Source organism: Homo sapiens, chromosome 1, assembly GCF_000001405.40.
Source record: "Homo sapiens chromosome 1, GRCh38.p14 Primary Assembly".
Classification (NCBI taxonomy): domain Eukaryota; kingdom Metazoa; phylum Chordata; class Mammalia; order Primates; family Hominidae; genus Homo; species Homo sapiens.
The window spans coordinates 32,636,484-32,653,106 of NC_000001.11; the positions used below are offsets into that span (position 1 = coordinate 32,636,484).

Below are 16,623 nucleotides of genomic sequence, written 5' to 3' on the forward strand. Positions count from 1 at the left end.
ATAGAGACCATCCTGGCCAACATGATGAAAGCTTGTCTCTACTAAAAACACAAAAACTTAGCTGGGCGTGGTGGCGCACACCTGTAAACCCATCTACTCAGGAGGCTGAGGCAGGAGAATAGCTTGAACCCAGGAGACGGAGGTTGCAGTGAGCCAAGATCGCGCCACTGCATTCCAGCCTGGGCAACAAGAGCAAAACTCAAAAAATGGAAAAAAAAAAAAAAGGTGGGGGGGAAGAAGAGGGTCAGGTCCCTAGGATGACCCTAACCCTCTGTCCGTCGTAGAAATGCCTGCCTGAGAAAGAGCATCATGGCCAGGAGAATATGTTTGTTCTAGCAAACACCTTATGTAGGCCCCCAAATTTCCTTTCTTAGAGCAGGTACTAAAAAGAGCTTACAAATGTGAATATCCATCTCTTACTACTTAGAAGTGTCTTTCTCTAAAACCCAAGAGCCATTCCATTGAAATGTAATCAACGGGAAGGATGGGCCTTTGTCTGTCTTCCAGCCTCTGTGGGAGGAAAGAATTCTAATTTCCACACTGTCAGCTGTCAGACACAGCTAGACTAATCACATTTACACTGATCAACTCTTTGTACTTTTTCACTTCTCTGACTCTACTAAGTCCCCCTCACTCCTCTCCCTTTAAAATGCCCAGTCATCCCCACACAAATCAGAATGGAGCTCAGCTCTTTTCCCACAGTAGTTATTAAATAAAACCTGTTTTCACTGCTCTGAGTAACGTCGAGTTGTATTTACCTTTCACACACGAGTGAAGAAGCCAGACATAAAAGAATCTGGCCGGGCGCGGTGGCTCACGCCTGTAATCCCAACACTTGGGGAGGCCGAGGTGGGTGGATCACGAGGTCAGGGGCTCGAGACCAGCCTGGCCAGTATGATGAAACCCCATCTTTACTAATAATACAAAAAAAAAAATGAGCTGGGCGTGGTGGCACCCGCCTGTAGTCCCAGCTACTCCGGAAGCTGAGGCAGGAGAACTGCTTGAACCCTGGAGGCGGAGGTTGCAGTGAGCCAAGATTGCACCACCGCACTCCAGTGTGGGTGACAGAGCAAGACTGCCTCAAAAAAAAAAAAAGAATCTAAACTGTGTGGTTCCATCTATATGAAAACTAAAATGGGCAAAATTAAGCTATGGTGGTAGAAAACACAAGTGTTTTTCTCAAGACAAGGAAGTGGAGGATTGACTGGAAAAGAGCAAAAGGGAACTTTCTCTGGTGATGAACACGTTCTATAGATTGGATGGAGTGTTGGTTACAGAGATGTATGCATCTGTTTATAAAAACTCACTGGACTTTACACCATAAGGTCTGAGCACCTTACTCAGGTAAAATATATAATTTTTTTTTGAGACAGAGTCTCTCGCTCTGTAGCCCCGGCTGGAGTGCAGTGGAGTGATCTTGGCTCACTGCAACCTCTGCCTCCCAGGTTCAAGTGATTCTCCCACCTCAACCTCCTGAGTACCTGGGATCACAGGAGTCCACCACCATGCCTGGCTAATTTTTTGTATTTTTTAAGTATAGACAGGATTTTGCCATGTTGGCCAGGCAGGTCTCAAACGTCTAATCTCAGGTGAACCACCTACACTGGCTTCCCAAAGTGCTGGGATTACAGGCCTGAGCCACCGCGCCCAGACTAAATTATATTTCAATTAAAAAAAAATCAATTTAAAAGACAGTGACACACTGCTATAGGGCAGTGGTTCTCAAATTTTGGAGTCTCCAGAATTCTTTTTTTTTTTTTTTTTTTTTTTGAGACAGAGCCTCGCTGCAACTTCCACCTCCCAGGTTCAAGTGATTCTCCTGCCTTAGCCTCCTAAGTAGCTGGGATTACAGGCATGCGCCACCATGCCCAGCTAATTTTTGTATTTTTAGTAGAGACGGGGTTTCACCATGTTGGCCAGGATGGTCTTGATCTCTTGACCTTGTAATCCGCCCACCTCAGCCTCCCAAAAGCTGGGATTACAGGCGTGAGCCACTGCGACCAGCCCAGAATTCTTTATTCTCCTAAAAATTATTGAAGACCCCAAAGAGCTTTTGTTAATATGGGTTATATCTGTCAATGACCATACTGCAAATTTTAAGTGAAAAGATTTTTAAATACGTATTAATTCATTTAAAAATAACAATAGGCTGGGTGTGGTGGCTCACAACTGTAATCTCAGCAGTTTGGGAGGCCAAGGTGGGTAGTTCACTTGAAATTAGGAGTTCGAGAACAGCCTGGCCAACATGGTGAAACGCTGTCTCTACTGAAAATAGAAAAAATTAGCTGGGGATAGTGGCACAACCCTGTAATCCCAGCTACTTGGGAGGCTGAAGCATGAAAATCGCTTGAACCCAGGTGGCAAAGGTTGCAATGAGTTGAGATCGCACTACTGCACTCCAGCCTGTGTGACAGAGTGAGACTCCATCTAAAAAATAATAATAACAATAATAATCATTCCATTTTATTGAACATAAATTGAGTATTTTTATCTTTTTGCTTTTATTTATTTATCTTAAAGATGGAGTTTCCTGGCCAGGCGCATTGGTTTACACCTGTAATCCCAATACTTTGGGAGGCTGAGGTAGGTGGATCACTTGAGGTCAGGAATTCGAGACCAGCCTGGCCAACATGGTGAAACTCCATCTCTACTAAAAATACAAAAATTAGCCCGGTGTGGTAGCATGTGCCTGTAGTCCCAGATACTCGGGAGGCTGAGGCAGAAGAGCTGCTTGGACCTGGGAGGTAGAGGTTGCAGTGAGCCAAGATCATGCCACTGCACTCCAGCCTGGGCAACAGAGCAAGACTCTACTCCCCCAAAAAAAATAAAAAAAAAAAAGATGGAGTTTCCCTATGTTGCCCAGGCTGGAGTGCAGTGGCTAGTCACAGGCACGACCATAGTACAATATATCCTAGTATTCCTGGGCTCAAGTGCTTACCACCATCCTGGCCTTGCATATTTTTATGAAAAAGTAACTATATTGTTAAAAGATTTAACTGGTCATGGTGGCTCATTCCTGTAACCCCAGCAACTGAAGAGGCTGAGGCAGGAGGACAGCATGAGGTCAGGAGTTCAAGACTAGCCTGGACAACATAGTGTGACTCCATCTCTTAAAAAGTTTTTAAAAAACCAGGCGTGGTAGTGCATGCCTGTAGTCCCAGCTACTTGGGAGGCTGAGATGGGGAGGACTGCCTGACCCTAGGAGCTTGGGCTGCAGTGAGCTAAGAGTGCAGTGAGCTGCATTCCAGTGTGGGCAACAGAGTAAGGTCCCAACTCTAAAAAAAAATAAAAGTTATTAATTAAAAAAAATTTAGTGAAGACTGGCACTGTTTTACATTTTTTCAAATATTTTAAATGTCTGGCAATATAGTCATTTACTTGGAGTGCATAAATAAAATCCAACCTCACAAATATGCAGAAGGAAAATACAGGAGCATTTTAATAGCTTTTTCAAATAATTGTGGCTAGGCTGGTCCAAGTGCAGTGATGTTTACAATTAATTCATCATAACCAGTTATACATTTCTTTGTTCCTTCTCCACTCCCACTGCTTTACTTAACTAGCCTTTTAAAAAAATTATGGATAATCTTTTTTTATGTTATACCAAAACTCAAAACATGGTATTTTTTTTTTGAGACAGTCTTGCTCTGTCGCCCAGGCTGGAGTGCAGTGGTGCAATATCAGCTCACTGCAACCTCCACCTCCCTGGTTCAAGCAATTCCCCTGCCTCAGCCTCCCGAGTAGCTGGGATTACAGGCGCACGCCACCACGCCTGGCTAATTATTTTTTTGTATTTTTAGTAGAGACGGGGTTTCACCATGTTAGTCAGACTGGTCTCGAACTCCTGACCTCAGGCAATCCACCCCTCTCGGCCTCCCAAAGTGCTGGGATTACAGGCATGAGCCACCGCACCGGCCAAAACATGGTAGTTTTTTCAACGTTAGTTGCAATGTGGATTCTGTAACCATCACAATGAACTTACCATATTGTAAAATTAAAATCCATTGATCTATTATGCACTTAGAATGAATCTTTTTGTTTTCTTTTTTGAGACGGAGTCTCACTCCGTCATCCAGGCTGAAGTGCAGTGGCACAATCACAGCTCACTACAGCTTAGACCTCCAAGGTCCAAGTGATACTTCTGCCTCAAGTCTCCCAAGTGGTAAGGACTACAGACACGCACCACCACACCTAGTTAATGTTTTGTAAGAGACAGGGTTTTGCCACGTTGCCCAGGCTGGTCTCGAACTTATGGGCTCAAGCCATCTGTCCCCCTTGGCCTCCCAAAGTGCTGAGATTAAGCTCATCAGGCCTGAAAATTTTAACTGGACTTGAATTTTACCATTATCAACAAATATTGTCAGCTATTTTCCTTGATGTGACAGATCACTGTTCACTTTCAAGGGTGTGGAGGCCCACACCTGTAATCCCAACACTTTGGGAGGCCGAGGTGGGCCGATCACCTGAGGTCAGGAGTTCAAGACCAGCCTGGCCAACACGGTGAAACCCTGTCTCTACTAAAAATACAAAAAAAAAAAAATTAGCTGGGCATGGTGGTGGGGCCTGTAATCCCAGCTAATCGGGAGGCCGAGGCAGAAGAATCCCTTGAACCTAGAAGGTGGAGGTTGCAGTAAGCCGAGATCGTGCCACTGCTCTCCAGCCTGGGCAATAGAGCAAGCCAAATACTGAAGTCTGAATAACAAAAGCATGTCTTTCATTCTTTCAAGAAAAAGTGTTCCATGAAAAACGGACCTAGTTCAGCTCACAACTCAATTACACAAGTTTTTTTTTTTTTTTTTTTTTTTTTTGAGACAGATTTTGCTCTTGTTGCCCAGGCTGGAGTGCAATGGCGCGATCTCAGCTCACCAAAACATCTGCCTACTGGGTTCAAACAATTCTCCTGCCTCAGCCTCCTGAGTAGCTGGGATTACAGGGATGCACCTCCACGCCGGGCTAATTTTGTATTTTTAGTAGAGATGGGGTTTCTCCATGTTGGTCAGGCTGGTCTCGAACTCCCAATCTCAGGTGATCCACCGCCTCGGCCTCCCAAAGTGCTGGGATTACAGGCATGAGCCACCGCGCCCGGCCAATTATTGTTCTTTTCCACAAGTAATCAACACTTAACATGCCACAAAAGTACTTTATACAGGCCGGGCACGGTGGCTCACACCTGTAATCCCAGCACTTTGGGAGGCCGAGGCGGGCGGATCACGAGATCAGCAGATCGAGACCATTCTGGCTAACATGGTGAAACCCCGTCTCTACTAAAAAATACAAAAAAAAAAAAATTAGCCGGGCATGGTGGCTGGCGCCTGTAGTCCCAGCTACTCAGGAGGCTGAGGCGGGAGAATGGCGTGAACCCGGGAGACGGAGGTTGCAGTGAGCCGAGATTGTGCCACTGCACTCCAGCACTCCAGCCTGGGTGACAGAGCGAGACTGTCTCAAACAAAACAAAACAAAACAAAACCTTTGTACATACTTCCAATTTTGTTACATAGAATATTATGACAACTAAACTCTGATTTTTTTTTATCTTGCCCAAATTCCTATCTAAGGGGTTTGGGGAGTCATGCCCTACAAATCACAAATTCTCTTCAGAAGTATTTTATTTAACCCTATACATCGTGACTTACTTTCTAACCTGAGTCTGGCATAAAATTACAAGATACAACACAAGGAAGAAAATCAAAATATTTTACCCCAAAGCATGTTTCTTTGCCATATTTTGAAATGGCCAGGGCCGGGCGCGGTGGTTCATACCTGTAATCCCAGCACTTTGGGAGGCCAAGGCAGGCAAATCACCTGAGATCAGGAGTTCAAGACCAGCCTGGCCAACGTGGTGAAACCCCGTATCTACTAAAAATGCAAAAATTAGCTGGGCGTAGTGGCAGGCACCTGTAATCCCAGCTACTCGGGAGGGTGAGGTAGGAGAATTGCTTGAACCCAGGAGACAGAGGTTGCAGTGAGCCAAGATGGTGCCACTGCATTCCAGCCTGGGTGACAGAGCGAGACTCTGTCTCAAAAAAAAAAAGAAAAAAAAAGAAATGGCCCGGCAAAGCTGTTCTTTCTGGGGGAGAATTTGCATCCGTAAAGAATCTCTATTAACATAGCTAGATCTTTTTCTTCCAGACCCTCCCAATCCTAAAGATGTTAACTAACATCTGAATAGGAAACATTTGTCTTCTATTGTCTCTAAGGGCAGCCACTATAGGACTTCAAAAGAACTTTGTTCTCCACAATCTTTTATCTTAACCAGAACATTCCCTTTCCATCAATTCTAGGTCTTTTTTTTTTTTTTTTTTTTTCAAATGGAGTTTCCTCTGTCGTCCAGGCTGGAGTGCAATGGTCCAATTTTAGCTCACTGCAACCTCCGCCTCCCAGATTCAAGGGATTCTCCTGCTCTCAGCCTCCGGAGTAGCTGGGATTACAGTCACGCGCCACCACGCACGGCTAATTTTTGTATTTTTAGTAGAGACAGAGTTTCACCATGTTGGCCAGGCTGGTCTCAAACCCTTGACCTCAGGTGATCTGCGGGCCTCGGCCTCCCAAAATGCTGGAATTACAGACGTGAGCCACCGTGCCTGGCCTTTTTTTTTTTTTTTTTGAGATAGAGTTTCGCTCTTGTTTCCCAGGCTGGAGTACAATGGCACGATCTCCGCTCACTGCAACCTCTGCCTCCCAGGTTCAAGCGATTCTCCTGCCTCAGCCTCCCAAGTAACTGGGATTACAGGGATGCACCACCACGCATGGCTAATTTTTTGTATTTTTAGTAGAGACGGGGGTTTCTCCATGTTTGTCAGGCTGGTCTCGAACCCCCGACCTCAGGTGATTCACCCGCCTTGGCCTCCCAAAGTACTGGGATTACAGATATTAGCCACTGCACTTGGCCTTTAGTTTTTGTTTTAGTTTTTGGTTTTTTTTTCTTTAAAGAGATGGGTTCTCACTGTCTACCAAGGTGGAGTACAGTGGCACAATCATGGCTCACAGCAGCCTTGACCTCCTGGGCTCAAGAGATCCCTCCTGCCTCAGCCTCTAGGTAGCTGGGACTGTGGCCCAGGCTGGAGTGCAGTGGCATGATCTCGGCTCACCACAACCCCTGCCTCCCGGGTTCAAGCTATTCTCCTGCCTCAGCCTCCCGAGTAGCTACGACTACAGGCGTGCACCACCACACTGGGCTAATTTTTTGTATTTTTAGTAGAGAGGGGGTTTCACTATGTTGGCCAGGCTGGTCTTGAACTCCTGACCTCGTAATCCGCCTGCCTCAGCCTCCCAAAGTGCTGGGATTACAGGCGTGAGCCACCATGCCTGGCCCCAGCTAATTTTTTTTACTTTTTTTTTTCTTTTTCTATTAAAAAGATGGGGGTCTCACTAGGTTGCACAGGTTGCTCAAACTCCTAGCTTCAAGTGATCCTTCCACCTTGGCCTTGTTGTACCCAAGCGAGTTAGAAAAACGCCACACTTTGAGACAAATTAAGAGTCTTTTATTAGCCGGCGACCTAGAGACGGCTAATGCTCAAAATTCTCTCGGCCCCAAGGAAGGGGCTTGATTAACTTTTATACCTTGGTTTAGGAAGGGGAGGGGGGGTCTAGTTAAAACAATTTTACGGAAGTAAAGTAGTCAAAAAGTTAAAAGGACAAATGGTTACAGGAAAGTAAACAGTTCCAGGTGCAGGGGCTTTAAGACTATTACAAGGTGATAGATCCGGGGCTTTGGGCGTTTATCAATCGGACGAATTCCTGGGAACTGCGGATATAGCTTGCCACAGTATCTTATCAGTTAATTGCATTCTTGGATGTGCTAGGAGTCAGCTTGCACAAGTTAAGTCCTTGAGGAAGGGGCTGCCAGTGAAAGAGCCAAGATGGAGTCTCTCTGGCTCTCTTAGCTAAGGGAGAGTCAATTCAGGTGGAAACAAGACTAGGTGATTAAGGGAAAAGGGAGAGTCTAAAAACAGAGTTAGTAAATACCAGGTTGGGCATTACAGCCTCCCAAAGTGTTGGGATTATAGGTGTGAGCCACTGCTTCTATCCTAAGAATGTTCTTTTCTTTTTCCTTTTTTTTTTTTTTTTTTGGAGTCAGGGACTCTGTCACCCAGGCCGGGAGTATAGTGGCATGATGATAACCCACTGCAACCTTGAACGCCTGAGCTCAAACAATCCTTCTGGCTCAGCTTCCCCAGTAGGTGCGACTACAGGACTACACACACATGCCACCACACCCAGCTTTTTTTTTTTTTTTTTTTTTTGTAGAGATGTGTTTCACTGTGTTGCCCAGACTAATCTGGAAATCCTGGGTTCAAGAAATCCTCCGGCTTAGGCCTCCCAAAGTGTTAGGATTATAGGCACGAGCCACCTCACCCAGGTGTTTAATTTACTACCACGCACTTAAAATTAAAAATAATATAATAATAAAAAGGCAGCCAGACACGGTGGCTCACGCCTGTAATCCCAGCACTTTGGGAGGCCGAGGTGGGCAGATCACGAGGTCAAGAGATTGAGACCATCCTGGCCAACATGGTGAAACCCCGTCTCTACTAAAAATACAAAAATTAGCTGGGCATGGTGGCGTGTGCCTGCAGTCCTGGCTACTCAGGAGGCTGAGGCAGGAGAATTGTTTGCACCTGGGAGGAGGAGGTTGCAGTGAGCCGAGATGGCGCCACTGCACTCCAGCCTGTCAACAGAGTGAGACTTCATCTCAAAAAAAAAAAGTCATTTTCATTCAAGAATGTCCTTAGGGCTAGGTGCAGTAGCTCACACCTGTAATCCCAGCACTTTGGGAGGCCAAGGCAGGACGATTGCTTAAGGCCAGGATTTCAAGATCAGCCTAGGCAACACGACAAGACCCCATCTCTATAAAAAATAACATAATTAGCTAGGTGTAGTAGCCAGGCATAGACAGTAGTCCCATCTACTCAGGAGGCTGAGGTGGGAGAACAGCTTGAGCCTAGGAGCTCAAGCTTGCAGTGAGCCATGACAGCGCCACTATACTCCAGCCTGGGAGACAGAGGGAGACCCTTTCTAGCATACAGTTTGGTGCTGCTGTCTCAATTTGTACTAAAGGGCCAAGAGATTTTGTTTTTGCTTTTTCTTTCACAGACAGAGTCTTGCTATGTAGCCCAGGATGGAGTGCAGTGGGGGCAATTATAGCTCCAAAAGATAGAGCCCAGCCTTACTCTGTAGCCCAGGATAGAGTGCAGTGGTACAATTATAGCTCCAAAAGACCAAGCCGAGTCTCAAACTCCTGGGTTCAAGTGATGCTCCCACCTCAGCCTCTGGAGTAGCTGGGACTACAGGCTGGGGCCAGTTTTACCAACCACTGATTTTGTACCACCAGTACAAATATCAACACAGTGAAAACAATAACACCTCAGTATTATTATGAAAATAGTTTTGACATCACAGACCCTCTGGAAGGATATAGGGAACCCCAGGAATACAGAGATTACATTTTGAGAACTATTATACTACTTATACAAGTGTACTCAGTTTCTGAAAATTCACTTATGACACGGGCACTCTTCTATAAGTACATCATACTTCAATAAAAGATGTATTTTGGCTGGGTGCAGTGCCTCACGTCTGTACTCCCAGCACTTTGGCAGGCCAAGGCAGACAGATCATCTGAGGTCAGGAATTCGAGACCAGCCTGGCCAACATGGTGAAACTCCATCACTACTAAAAATGAAAAATTAGCTGGGTATGATGGTGCACGCCTGTAATCCCAGCTACTCAAGAGGCTGAGGTTGGAGGATCACTTGAGTCCAGGAGGCAGAGGTTGTAGTGAGTCAAAGTCGCACCACTGCACTACTCCAGCTTGGGTGACAGAATGAGACTGTCTCAGGGAAAAAAAAAAAGATTTTTTTTTCTTGGTATCTAATTCCAGGTTATTCAATTAAAGTTTTTTATTTTATTATTATTTTTTTTTGAGAAAGAGTCTCACTCTGTTGCCCAGGCTGGAGTGCAGTGGTGCAATCTCGGCTCACTGCAAGCTCCGCCTCCCGGGTTCACGCCATTCTCCTGCCTCAGCCTCCCGAGTAGCTGGGACTACAGGCGCCCGCCACCTCGCCCGGCTAATTTTTTTGTATTTTTAGTAGAGACAGGGTTTCACCATGTTAGCCAGGATGGCCTCAATCTCCTGACCTCGTGATCCGCCGGCCAAAAGTTCTATTTTCAAATGTATAAAAAAAAAATTAGGAAAATTATTTTAAAATCTCAGTGGACAAGGCATTCCCTGAGTATGACTTCTTATCTTAGAAGCCATAAAAAAAAGGGTTGGCCGGGAGTGGTGGCTCATGCCTGTAACCCCAGCACTTTGGGAGGCTCAGGTGGGCGGATCACTTGAGGTCAGGAGTTCAAGACCATCCTGGCCAGCATGGTGAAACCCTGTCTCTACTAAAAAAAAAACACAAAAATTAGCCGGGTGTGGTGGTGGGCACCTGTAATCCCAGCCATACGGAAGGCTGAGGCAAGAGAATCACTTGAACCCAGGAGGCGGAGGTTGCTGTGAGCTGAGATGGTGCCACTGCACTCCAGCCTGGGAGACAGAGCAAGATACTGTCTCAAAAAAAAAAAAAAAAAAAAAAAAAAAAAAAATGCCAGGCGTGGTGGCTTACGCCTGTAATCCCAGCACTTCGGAGGCCGAGGCGGGCGGATCACCTGAGATTGGAAGTTCGAGATTGGAAGTTCGAGACCACCCTGACCAACATGGAGAAACCCCATCTCTACTAAAAATACAAAATTAGCCAGGCACGGTGGTGCATACCTGTAATCCCAGCTACTCTGTCTCAAAAAAAAAAAAAAAAAAAAATTAGCCAGGTGTGGTGGTGCATGTCTGTAGTCCCAGCTACTCAGGAGGCTGAGGCAGAAGAATTACTTGAACCTGGGGGGCAGAGGTTGCAGTGACTGGAGATCATGCCACTGTACTCCAACCTGGATGACAAAGCGAGACTCTGTCTCAAAAAAAAAAAAAAAAGAAAAGAAAGAAAGGGTCAATGCAGGGGGTCCCCAACCCCCTGGCCAGTACCAGTTGGTGGCCTGTTAGGAACCAGGCAGCACAGCAGGACATGAGCTCACAAAGCTTCTTCTATATTTACAACAGCTCCCCATTGCTAACATTACTGCCTGAGCTCCACTTCCTTTCAGATCAGGCACAGCATTAGATTCTCATAGGAGCTTGAACACTATTGTGAACTGCACATTGAGGGATCTAGGCTGTGTGCTCCTTATGAGAATCTAAAGCCTGATGATCTGTCATCCCCAGATGGGACCATCTAGTTACAAGAAAACAAGTTCAGGGCTCCCACTGATTCTATATTACAGTGAGTTGTATAATTATTTCATTATATATTACAACGTAATAATAATAGAAATAAAATGCACAATAAATGTAATGCGCTTGAATCATCCTGAAACCATCCTCCCCTACAACCCCCGTTGGTGGAAAAACTGACTTCCGTGAAACCAGTCCCTAGTGCCAAAAAGGTTGGGGACCGCTGGTTAATGAACTGCATTGCATAAAAACACTTTCTGCCTAGTAAGAAAAACCAACAACCCAAGACAAAAAAAAAATAACCCAAGAGAAAAAAGGGCTAAGAATATTAACATACACACCCCAGAATGGGAAATACAAATAGCTTCCAAAACAGTATAATATGTTCAACTTCACTTACAATAAGAAAAATACAGTAAGTATACTTTACAAATTAGAAAAGATAAAAAAGTATGGTAACAATTAGTAGAAGTGGGAGGAAAGAGGCACATTCACACAATACTAGTGAAAGTATAAATTGGTACAACTCCTATAGAGAGCAATTTGGCAATAACTGTCCAAGTTAAAATATCCTTTTAAAAAATGTAGGAGTCTTAGCAATGGAAACAAAAAAAACTTGGAGAACTTGATTCTACAGATTCACTTGCACATGTACAAAACAGTGGATGTACAAGTGTATTCACTGCTGCACTGTTTCTAATACCACAAGAGTAGAAATAGCCTAAACGTCCATCAACTGAAAATTGGTTAAAGCAAATGCTAGAACATCTAGGTATGTACATGTAAGAAAAAGGTAACGATGACTGCTCTACAGAGGGGGACTAGGTAGTTGAGGATGGGGGCTGCCAGAGTTACTTTTCACTGCCTATGTTACACTTTCTGAATTTCAAATCAATATATATGACCTATTAAAAATAATTTTTTTTTGAGATGGAGTCTGGCTCTGTCGCCCAGGCTGGAGTGCAGTGGTGCAATCTCGGCTCACTGCAACCTCCGCCTCCCAGGTTCAAGCGATTCTCCTGCCTCAGCCGCCCAAGCAGCTGGGATTACAGGCACCCACCACCATGCCTAGCTAATTTTTGTATTTTTAGTAGAGATGGGGTTTCACCATGTTGGCCAGGCCAGGCTGATCTCAAGCTCCTGACCTCAGGTGATCCACCCGCCTCAACCTCCCAAAGTGCTGGGATTACAGGCGTGAGCCACAGCACCAGGCCTTTTTTTTTTTTTTTTTTTTTTTGAGACAGTCTCACTCTGTTGCCCAGGCTGGAGTGCAGTGGTGTGATCTCGGCTCACTGCAGCCTCCACCCTCCTGGGTTCAAGCAATTCTCCTGCCTCAGCCTCCCGAGTAGCTGGGATTACAGGCGCCCACCATCATGCGCAGCTAATTTTTGTATTTTTAGTAGAGACGGGGTTTCACCATGTTGGCCAGGCTGGTCTGGAACTCCTGACCTCAGGTGATCCACCCACGTCAGTCTCGCAAAGTGCTGGGATTATAAGTGTGAGCCACCGCAAACGGCCTATAATATTTTAAAATTGTTTTTAAGTGAGAGAAGGGGATATGCTAGGAGGTATGCCAGCTCCAGAAAGCACATTGCCTAGAATACTATGGTAAATAAGTAGATTTTACAGAGAGGACAATGAGAAATTAATGAAAGATTTTAAGCAGATAAATAAAAGTCAGATTTGTGCTCCCCAAACCACAGCTACCTTTAGGGATGACAGCTTAACGTTTAATATAGAATTTAAGAGACAAAGATAGGTTATGTGATTTGCCTAAAGTCACTAAGCGAATAAATGGCAAAACCAGCTGGGCACTGCAGCGCGGGCTATGATCGCTCCATTGCACTCCAGCCTGGACGACAGAGCGAGACCCCATCTCTAAAAACACACACACACACACACACACACACACACACACATTTTTTTTTTTTTTTGAGACAGAGTTTCGCTCGTTGCCCAGGCTGGAGTGCAATGGGGCGATCTCGGCTCACCGCAACCTCCGCCTCCCGGGTTCAAGCGATTCTCCTGCCTCAGTCTCCCGAGTAGCTGGGATTACAGACATGCTCCACCACGCCCAGCTAATTTTGTATTTTTAGTAGAGACGGGGTTTTTCCATGTTGGTCAGGCTGATCTCGAACTTCCGACCTCAGGTGATCCGCCCGCCTCGGCCTCCCAAAGTGCTGGGATCACAGGCCTCAGCCACCGAGCCCGGCCTAAAATAATCATTTTTAAAAATCACAATCATAAATGGCAAAACCAGGTTTTTTGCTAATATGATCGAGGTGAAACATCAAGTTAGAAATCCCCTAATTAGCTTTCCGAGTCCTCTAACCTCGCACACTCTAATCTCACCGTTGGGAAATACATGGGGGTAACAACCCTGCAAACGCCTGAAAATATGGTTATCTTTAGAATTTACGAAGATAAATGTGATTAGGCACATGTGGAAGAAGTTCAAGAGACTGTAAATGAGGGAGGCCAGGTTTCGCGACTATTAAACCAGGTGGCTTTTTCCTTCAGCATCCCCAGGAGAAGTACGAACGCGACTACAACAGCCGGCACAAATGGGATCATGCCTGAAGTACCCATGGGGCACAGTAGAAAGAGCAGCAGGAAGCCGCGGGTAAGGAGAGGGGATGCCTGTGTGCTTACATGTAAAGAGAGAAGTAAGCCACCTACTCACACTCGTACTTCCTATTGACTGGCGGATACTTGGCCTTGATCGCCTTCTGTTCTTCAGTCAAATTGTAATCTCTAACATCTTCCTCTTCCTGCGCCATGACTGCAGGATTAGACACTCTACTTCCGCCCTTCATCCACCGGACTTCGGCCCGGAGTTACTACTTCCGCTCTAGACTCCGCCCCTTGGCGCACACCCTTAAAGGACCACACTCCTTTCTCGGAGTTGGCTGTTGACCTACTTTAGTCCCTACCCTGCCGCTTGGATCGCATATTTAAAAAGCCAAAACCCCATCTTCTGCGATTCCTTCATTACTAGTTCTTTCCAAAGACTAAGGAAAAACGTTGAAGGGCACCTTGAATGAAACCCGTCTGGGTCTGACTGGCGAGGTTCTTTCCCCCGCTTCACCCCCAAAATTGATAACTAGACCCGAAGGCATTCTAGATTTTTCATCTCAGTACTCTGAAAGGGTCGTAAGCTTAATAGCCTTCAAGAAAATGGCTGCCCTCTTGCCGCGGGAGTGTGCGGACCAAACCTCTCTCACGTGACCCTGACCGGGCGCAGTCCCGTCAACGCCGGCGCGCGCAATCGCTGGAAGTCGGCTCGGGGAGGCGTGGGGGGAGGGGCGGAGCGCGCGCCTCGGTCCCCGCGGAAAGCTACTCCGCGCGTCTGGATTGGTCGCGAACGCGGCTTCCCCGCCCATCCCGCCATTAGGAGCGCTCCCATTGGCTGATGTTGGCGCGAAGGTGCGCGAGTCAGCCCTCGCGCTGGGGGCGCAGGAAACAATAGAGGCCGCGCGCACAGAGCGAGCTCTTGCAGCCTCCCCGCCCCTCCCGCAACGCTCGACCCCAGGATTCCCCCGGCTCGCCTGCCCGCCATGGCCGACAAGGAAGGTGAGGGTGCCGGGGCCGACCCAGGAGGGCAGTGGGTGCCTGGGCTGAGCCGCGGCCTCGACATGGCCTAACAGTGAGGGCAGGCCCGAGTTTGCCGAGTGCAGTCCCCGGTACTGAAGGCGTGAAGAGGGAACTCCCCGCGGGGCGTGCTAACGGCTCGCCAGTTCCCTGGGACCGATTTCGGTCGCAGCTGGCGAAGCCAGCGGTGGGGCCCCCGGCCAGTGTTTGTTTCTCTTCCTGCCTCCGATATCGGTTTCTCGGCCTCTGTCCCGAGCGTGGGGACACCGCTTCCTACCCACAAGGCTCGGAGCTCGGGCCTCCTCGTCGGGCTTGTGAGTTTCGGCGCGCACGAGCGTGCTCCGAAGGCCTGGCTGGCCCCTTGGCCTGGAACGGGTAACGGAGTGTTTGGCGGGGATGGCCCGAGGAGTTTCGGCGCCGCGAAAGTGGAGAGTGTGGATGCCTCTGCCGTGGGGATTTAGACAAATCACCTCCATTTCATGGTTAGGCTGTAGGAGTCATGCAGGTGGCTTTGCAGAGGATTACTCGGTTTCCGTTTGTTTGCTAACTTAAATTTGTTTTTAAAAATTTTAGCAGCCTTCGACGACGCAGTGGAAGAACGAGTGATCAACGAGGAATACAAAATATGGAAAAAGAACACCCCTTTTCTTTATGATTTGGTGATGACCCATGCTCTGGAGTGGCCCAGCCTAACTGCCCAGTGGCTTCCAGATGTAACCAGGTGACATGACTCTCCCGAACGTTATTTTGATGTATTTTCAGTGTAGATTTCTCATATTGATTTTCTTTTTTCCGCTCTTCAGTCACCCGGAGAAGGCATGTGATCAAAACCTCTTGGTGACATTTTTTCTAGGCCACAAAGTAAGGCAAAATAACAAAATGATTTTGTAACTTACCTGACAAGAGAAAACATATTGGCGTTTTTTTCTCAATACTGAATTAAATAGCTGTAGCTGATGATAATACCTGTAATAATAGTGGCTGTACCAAATAATAGTACAAAACTTGTCAACTTTCAAAAAGTATTATGGCCAGGAGCAGTGGCTCACACTTGGAATCCGAGCACTTTGGGAGGCCCAGGCAGGAGACTTACTTGAGGCCAGGAGTTGGAGACCAGCCCTGGGAATACCCTCGTCTCTACTGCCCCCCACACAAAAAAAGAAAAAAGTATTACAATGAGTCTAGTCCTTACAACAAAAATTTTTTGTTTTTCTTTTTGAGACGGTGTCTCACTCTGTTGTCCAGGCTGGAGTGCAGTGGCGCGAGCTCGACTCACTGCAACCTCTGCCTCCCAGATTCGAGCGATTCTCCTGCCTAAGCCCTCCCAAGTAGCTGGGATTACAGGCACCTGCCACCACGCCTGGCTAAATTTTTTTGTATTTTTAGTAGAGACGGGGTTTTACCATGTGGGACAGGCTGGTCTCCAACCCCCTGACCTCTGGTGATCCGCCCGCCTCTGCCTCCCAAAGTGCCGGGATTACAGGCGTGAGCCACTGCACCTGGCCTCAACAAAACTTAATTTGAATTCTCGTAGTATGTCATGGTACCTGCCTTCAAGGAGCACATTGTCTAGTTGAAGTGGCAGATATAAACTAATAATTATAGTTATATATGGTGACAGCAGTTGTAGAGAGATAATTAGGGTACCTAGAAAACACCTGAAGGTGGAATGGCTTTCTTATAAGGGGTTTGGGCATAGTGAGGGCTAAAAGATTAATCCTATGTTTCTTACGTGTAGGTAGCTTATCTCTAGTAGAGGGGATAAA

General features: G+C 46.6%; 2 protein-coding genes across 42 annotated transcripts in view, besides 9 other annotated features; one reads left to right on the forward strand and one right to left on the reverse strand.

Moving 5' to 3' along the window:
• ZBTB8OS (zinc finger and BTB domain containing 8 opposite strand) overlaps positions 1–14,449 on the reverse strand; it is a 30,113-nt gene extending 15,664 nt beyond the window's left edge. For 24 of the 39 annotated variants that reach the window (NR_158776.1, NR_158780.1, NR_158781.1 and 21 more), the window contains exon 1: positions 13,950–14,449. Coding sequence is in view for 13 of the 39 variants with exons in the window: in NM_001366270.1 (NP_001353199.1) it covers positions 13,950–14,082 (133 nt within the window). In the remaining 26 variants the exon portion in view is untranslated. Of the gene's footprint in view, positions 1–13,918 lie in introns of all 39 variants that reach the window. The other 15 variants (NR_158775.1, NM_001366267.1, NM_001308138.2 and 12 more) reach the window with 4 other exon arrangements.
• Positions 5,403–6,162: an enhancer, noted in NCBI's record as "OCT4-NANOG-H3K27ac-H3K4me1 hESC enhancer chr1:33107487-33108246 (GRCh37/hg19 assembly coordinates)". NCBI's record gives its function as "activates a minimal SCP1, AML or CMV promoter by ChIP-STARR-seq in naive and primed H9 embryonic stem cells {active_cell/tissue: H9 hESC(naive and primed)}" and the evidence as "EXISTENCE:reporter gene assay evidence [ECO:0000049][PMID:30033119]".
• Positions 6,163–6,921: an enhancer, noted in NCBI's record as "OCT4-NANOG-H3K27ac-H3K4me1 hESC enhancer chr1:33108247-33109005 (GRCh37/hg19 assembly coordinates)". NCBI's record gives its function as "activates a minimal SCP1, AML or CMV promoter by ChIP-STARR-seq in naive and primed H9 embryonic stem cells {active_cell/tissue: H9 hESC(naive and primed)}" and the evidence as "EXISTENCE:reporter gene assay evidence [ECO:0000049][PMID:30033119]".
• Positions 11,078–11,147: a silencer, noted in NCBI's record as "silent region_603". NCBI's record gives its function as "represses an Ori minimal core promoter by ATAC-STARR-seq in GM12878 lymphoblastoid cells {active_cell/tissue: GM12878}" and the evidence as "EXISTENCE:reporter gene assay evidence [ECO:0000049][PMID:35858748]".
• Positions 12,664–12,803: an enhancer, noted in NCBI's record as "active region_695". NCBI's record gives its function as "activates an Ori minimal core promoter by ATAC-STARR-seq in GM12878 lymphoblastoid cells {active_cell/tissue: GM12878}" and the evidence as "EXISTENCE:reporter gene assay evidence [ECO:0000049][PMID:35858748]".
• Positions 13,937–14,524: an enhancer, noted in NCBI's record as "NANOG-H3K27ac hESC enhancer chr1:33116021-33116608 (GRCh37/hg19 assembly coordinates)". NCBI's record gives its function as "activates a minimal SCP1, AML or CMV promoter by ChIP-STARR-seq in naive and primed H9 embryonic stem cells {active_cell/tissue: H9 hESC(naive and primed)}" and the evidence as "EXISTENCE:reporter gene assay evidence [ECO:0000049][PMID:30033119]".
• Positions 13,937–15,113: a biological region, named in NCBI's record as "hESC enhancers GRCh37_chr1:33116021-33116608 and GRCh37_chr1:33116609-33117197".
• Positions 14,404–14,973: a silencer, noted in NCBI's record as "silent region_604". NCBI's record gives its function as "represses an Ori minimal core promoter by ATAC-STARR-seq in GM12878 lymphoblastoid cells {active_cell/tissue: GM12878}" and the evidence as "EXISTENCE:reporter gene assay evidence [ECO:0000049][PMID:35858748]".
• Positions 14,525–15,113: an enhancer, noted in NCBI's record as "NANOG-H3K27ac-H3K4me1 hESC enhancer chr1:33116609-33117197 (GRCh37/hg19 assembly coordinates)". NCBI's record gives its function as "activates a minimal SCP1, AML or CMV promoter by ChIP-STARR-seq in naive H9 embryonic stem cells {active_cell/tissue: H9 hESC(naive)}" and the evidence as "EXISTENCE:reporter gene assay evidence [ECO:0000049][PMID:30033119]".
• RBBP4 (RB binding protein 4, chromatin remodeling factor) overlaps positions 14,725–16,623 on the forward strand; it is a 35,004-nt gene continuing 33,105 nt past the window's right edge. Inside the window, exons 1-2 of one of the 3 annotated variants that reach the window (NM_005610.3) lie at positions 14,725–14,839; positions 15,431–15,578. In NM_005610.3, coding sequence (NP_005601.1) covers positions 14,824–14,839; positions 15,431–15,578 — 164 coding nt within the window. In that variant the 5' untranslated portion in view covers positions 14,725–14,823. Of the gene's footprint in view, positions 14,840–14,872; positions 14,950–15,430; positions 15,579–16,623 lie in introns of those variants that run through there. The other 2 variants (NM_001135255.2, NM_001135256.2) reach the window with 2 other exon arrangements.
• Positions 15,274–15,373: an enhancer, noted in NCBI's record as "active region_696". NCBI's record gives its function as "activates an Ori minimal core promoter by ATAC-STARR-seq in GM12878 lymphoblastoid cells {active_cell/tissue: GM12878}" and the evidence as "EXISTENCE:reporter gene assay evidence [ECO:0000049][PMID:35858748]".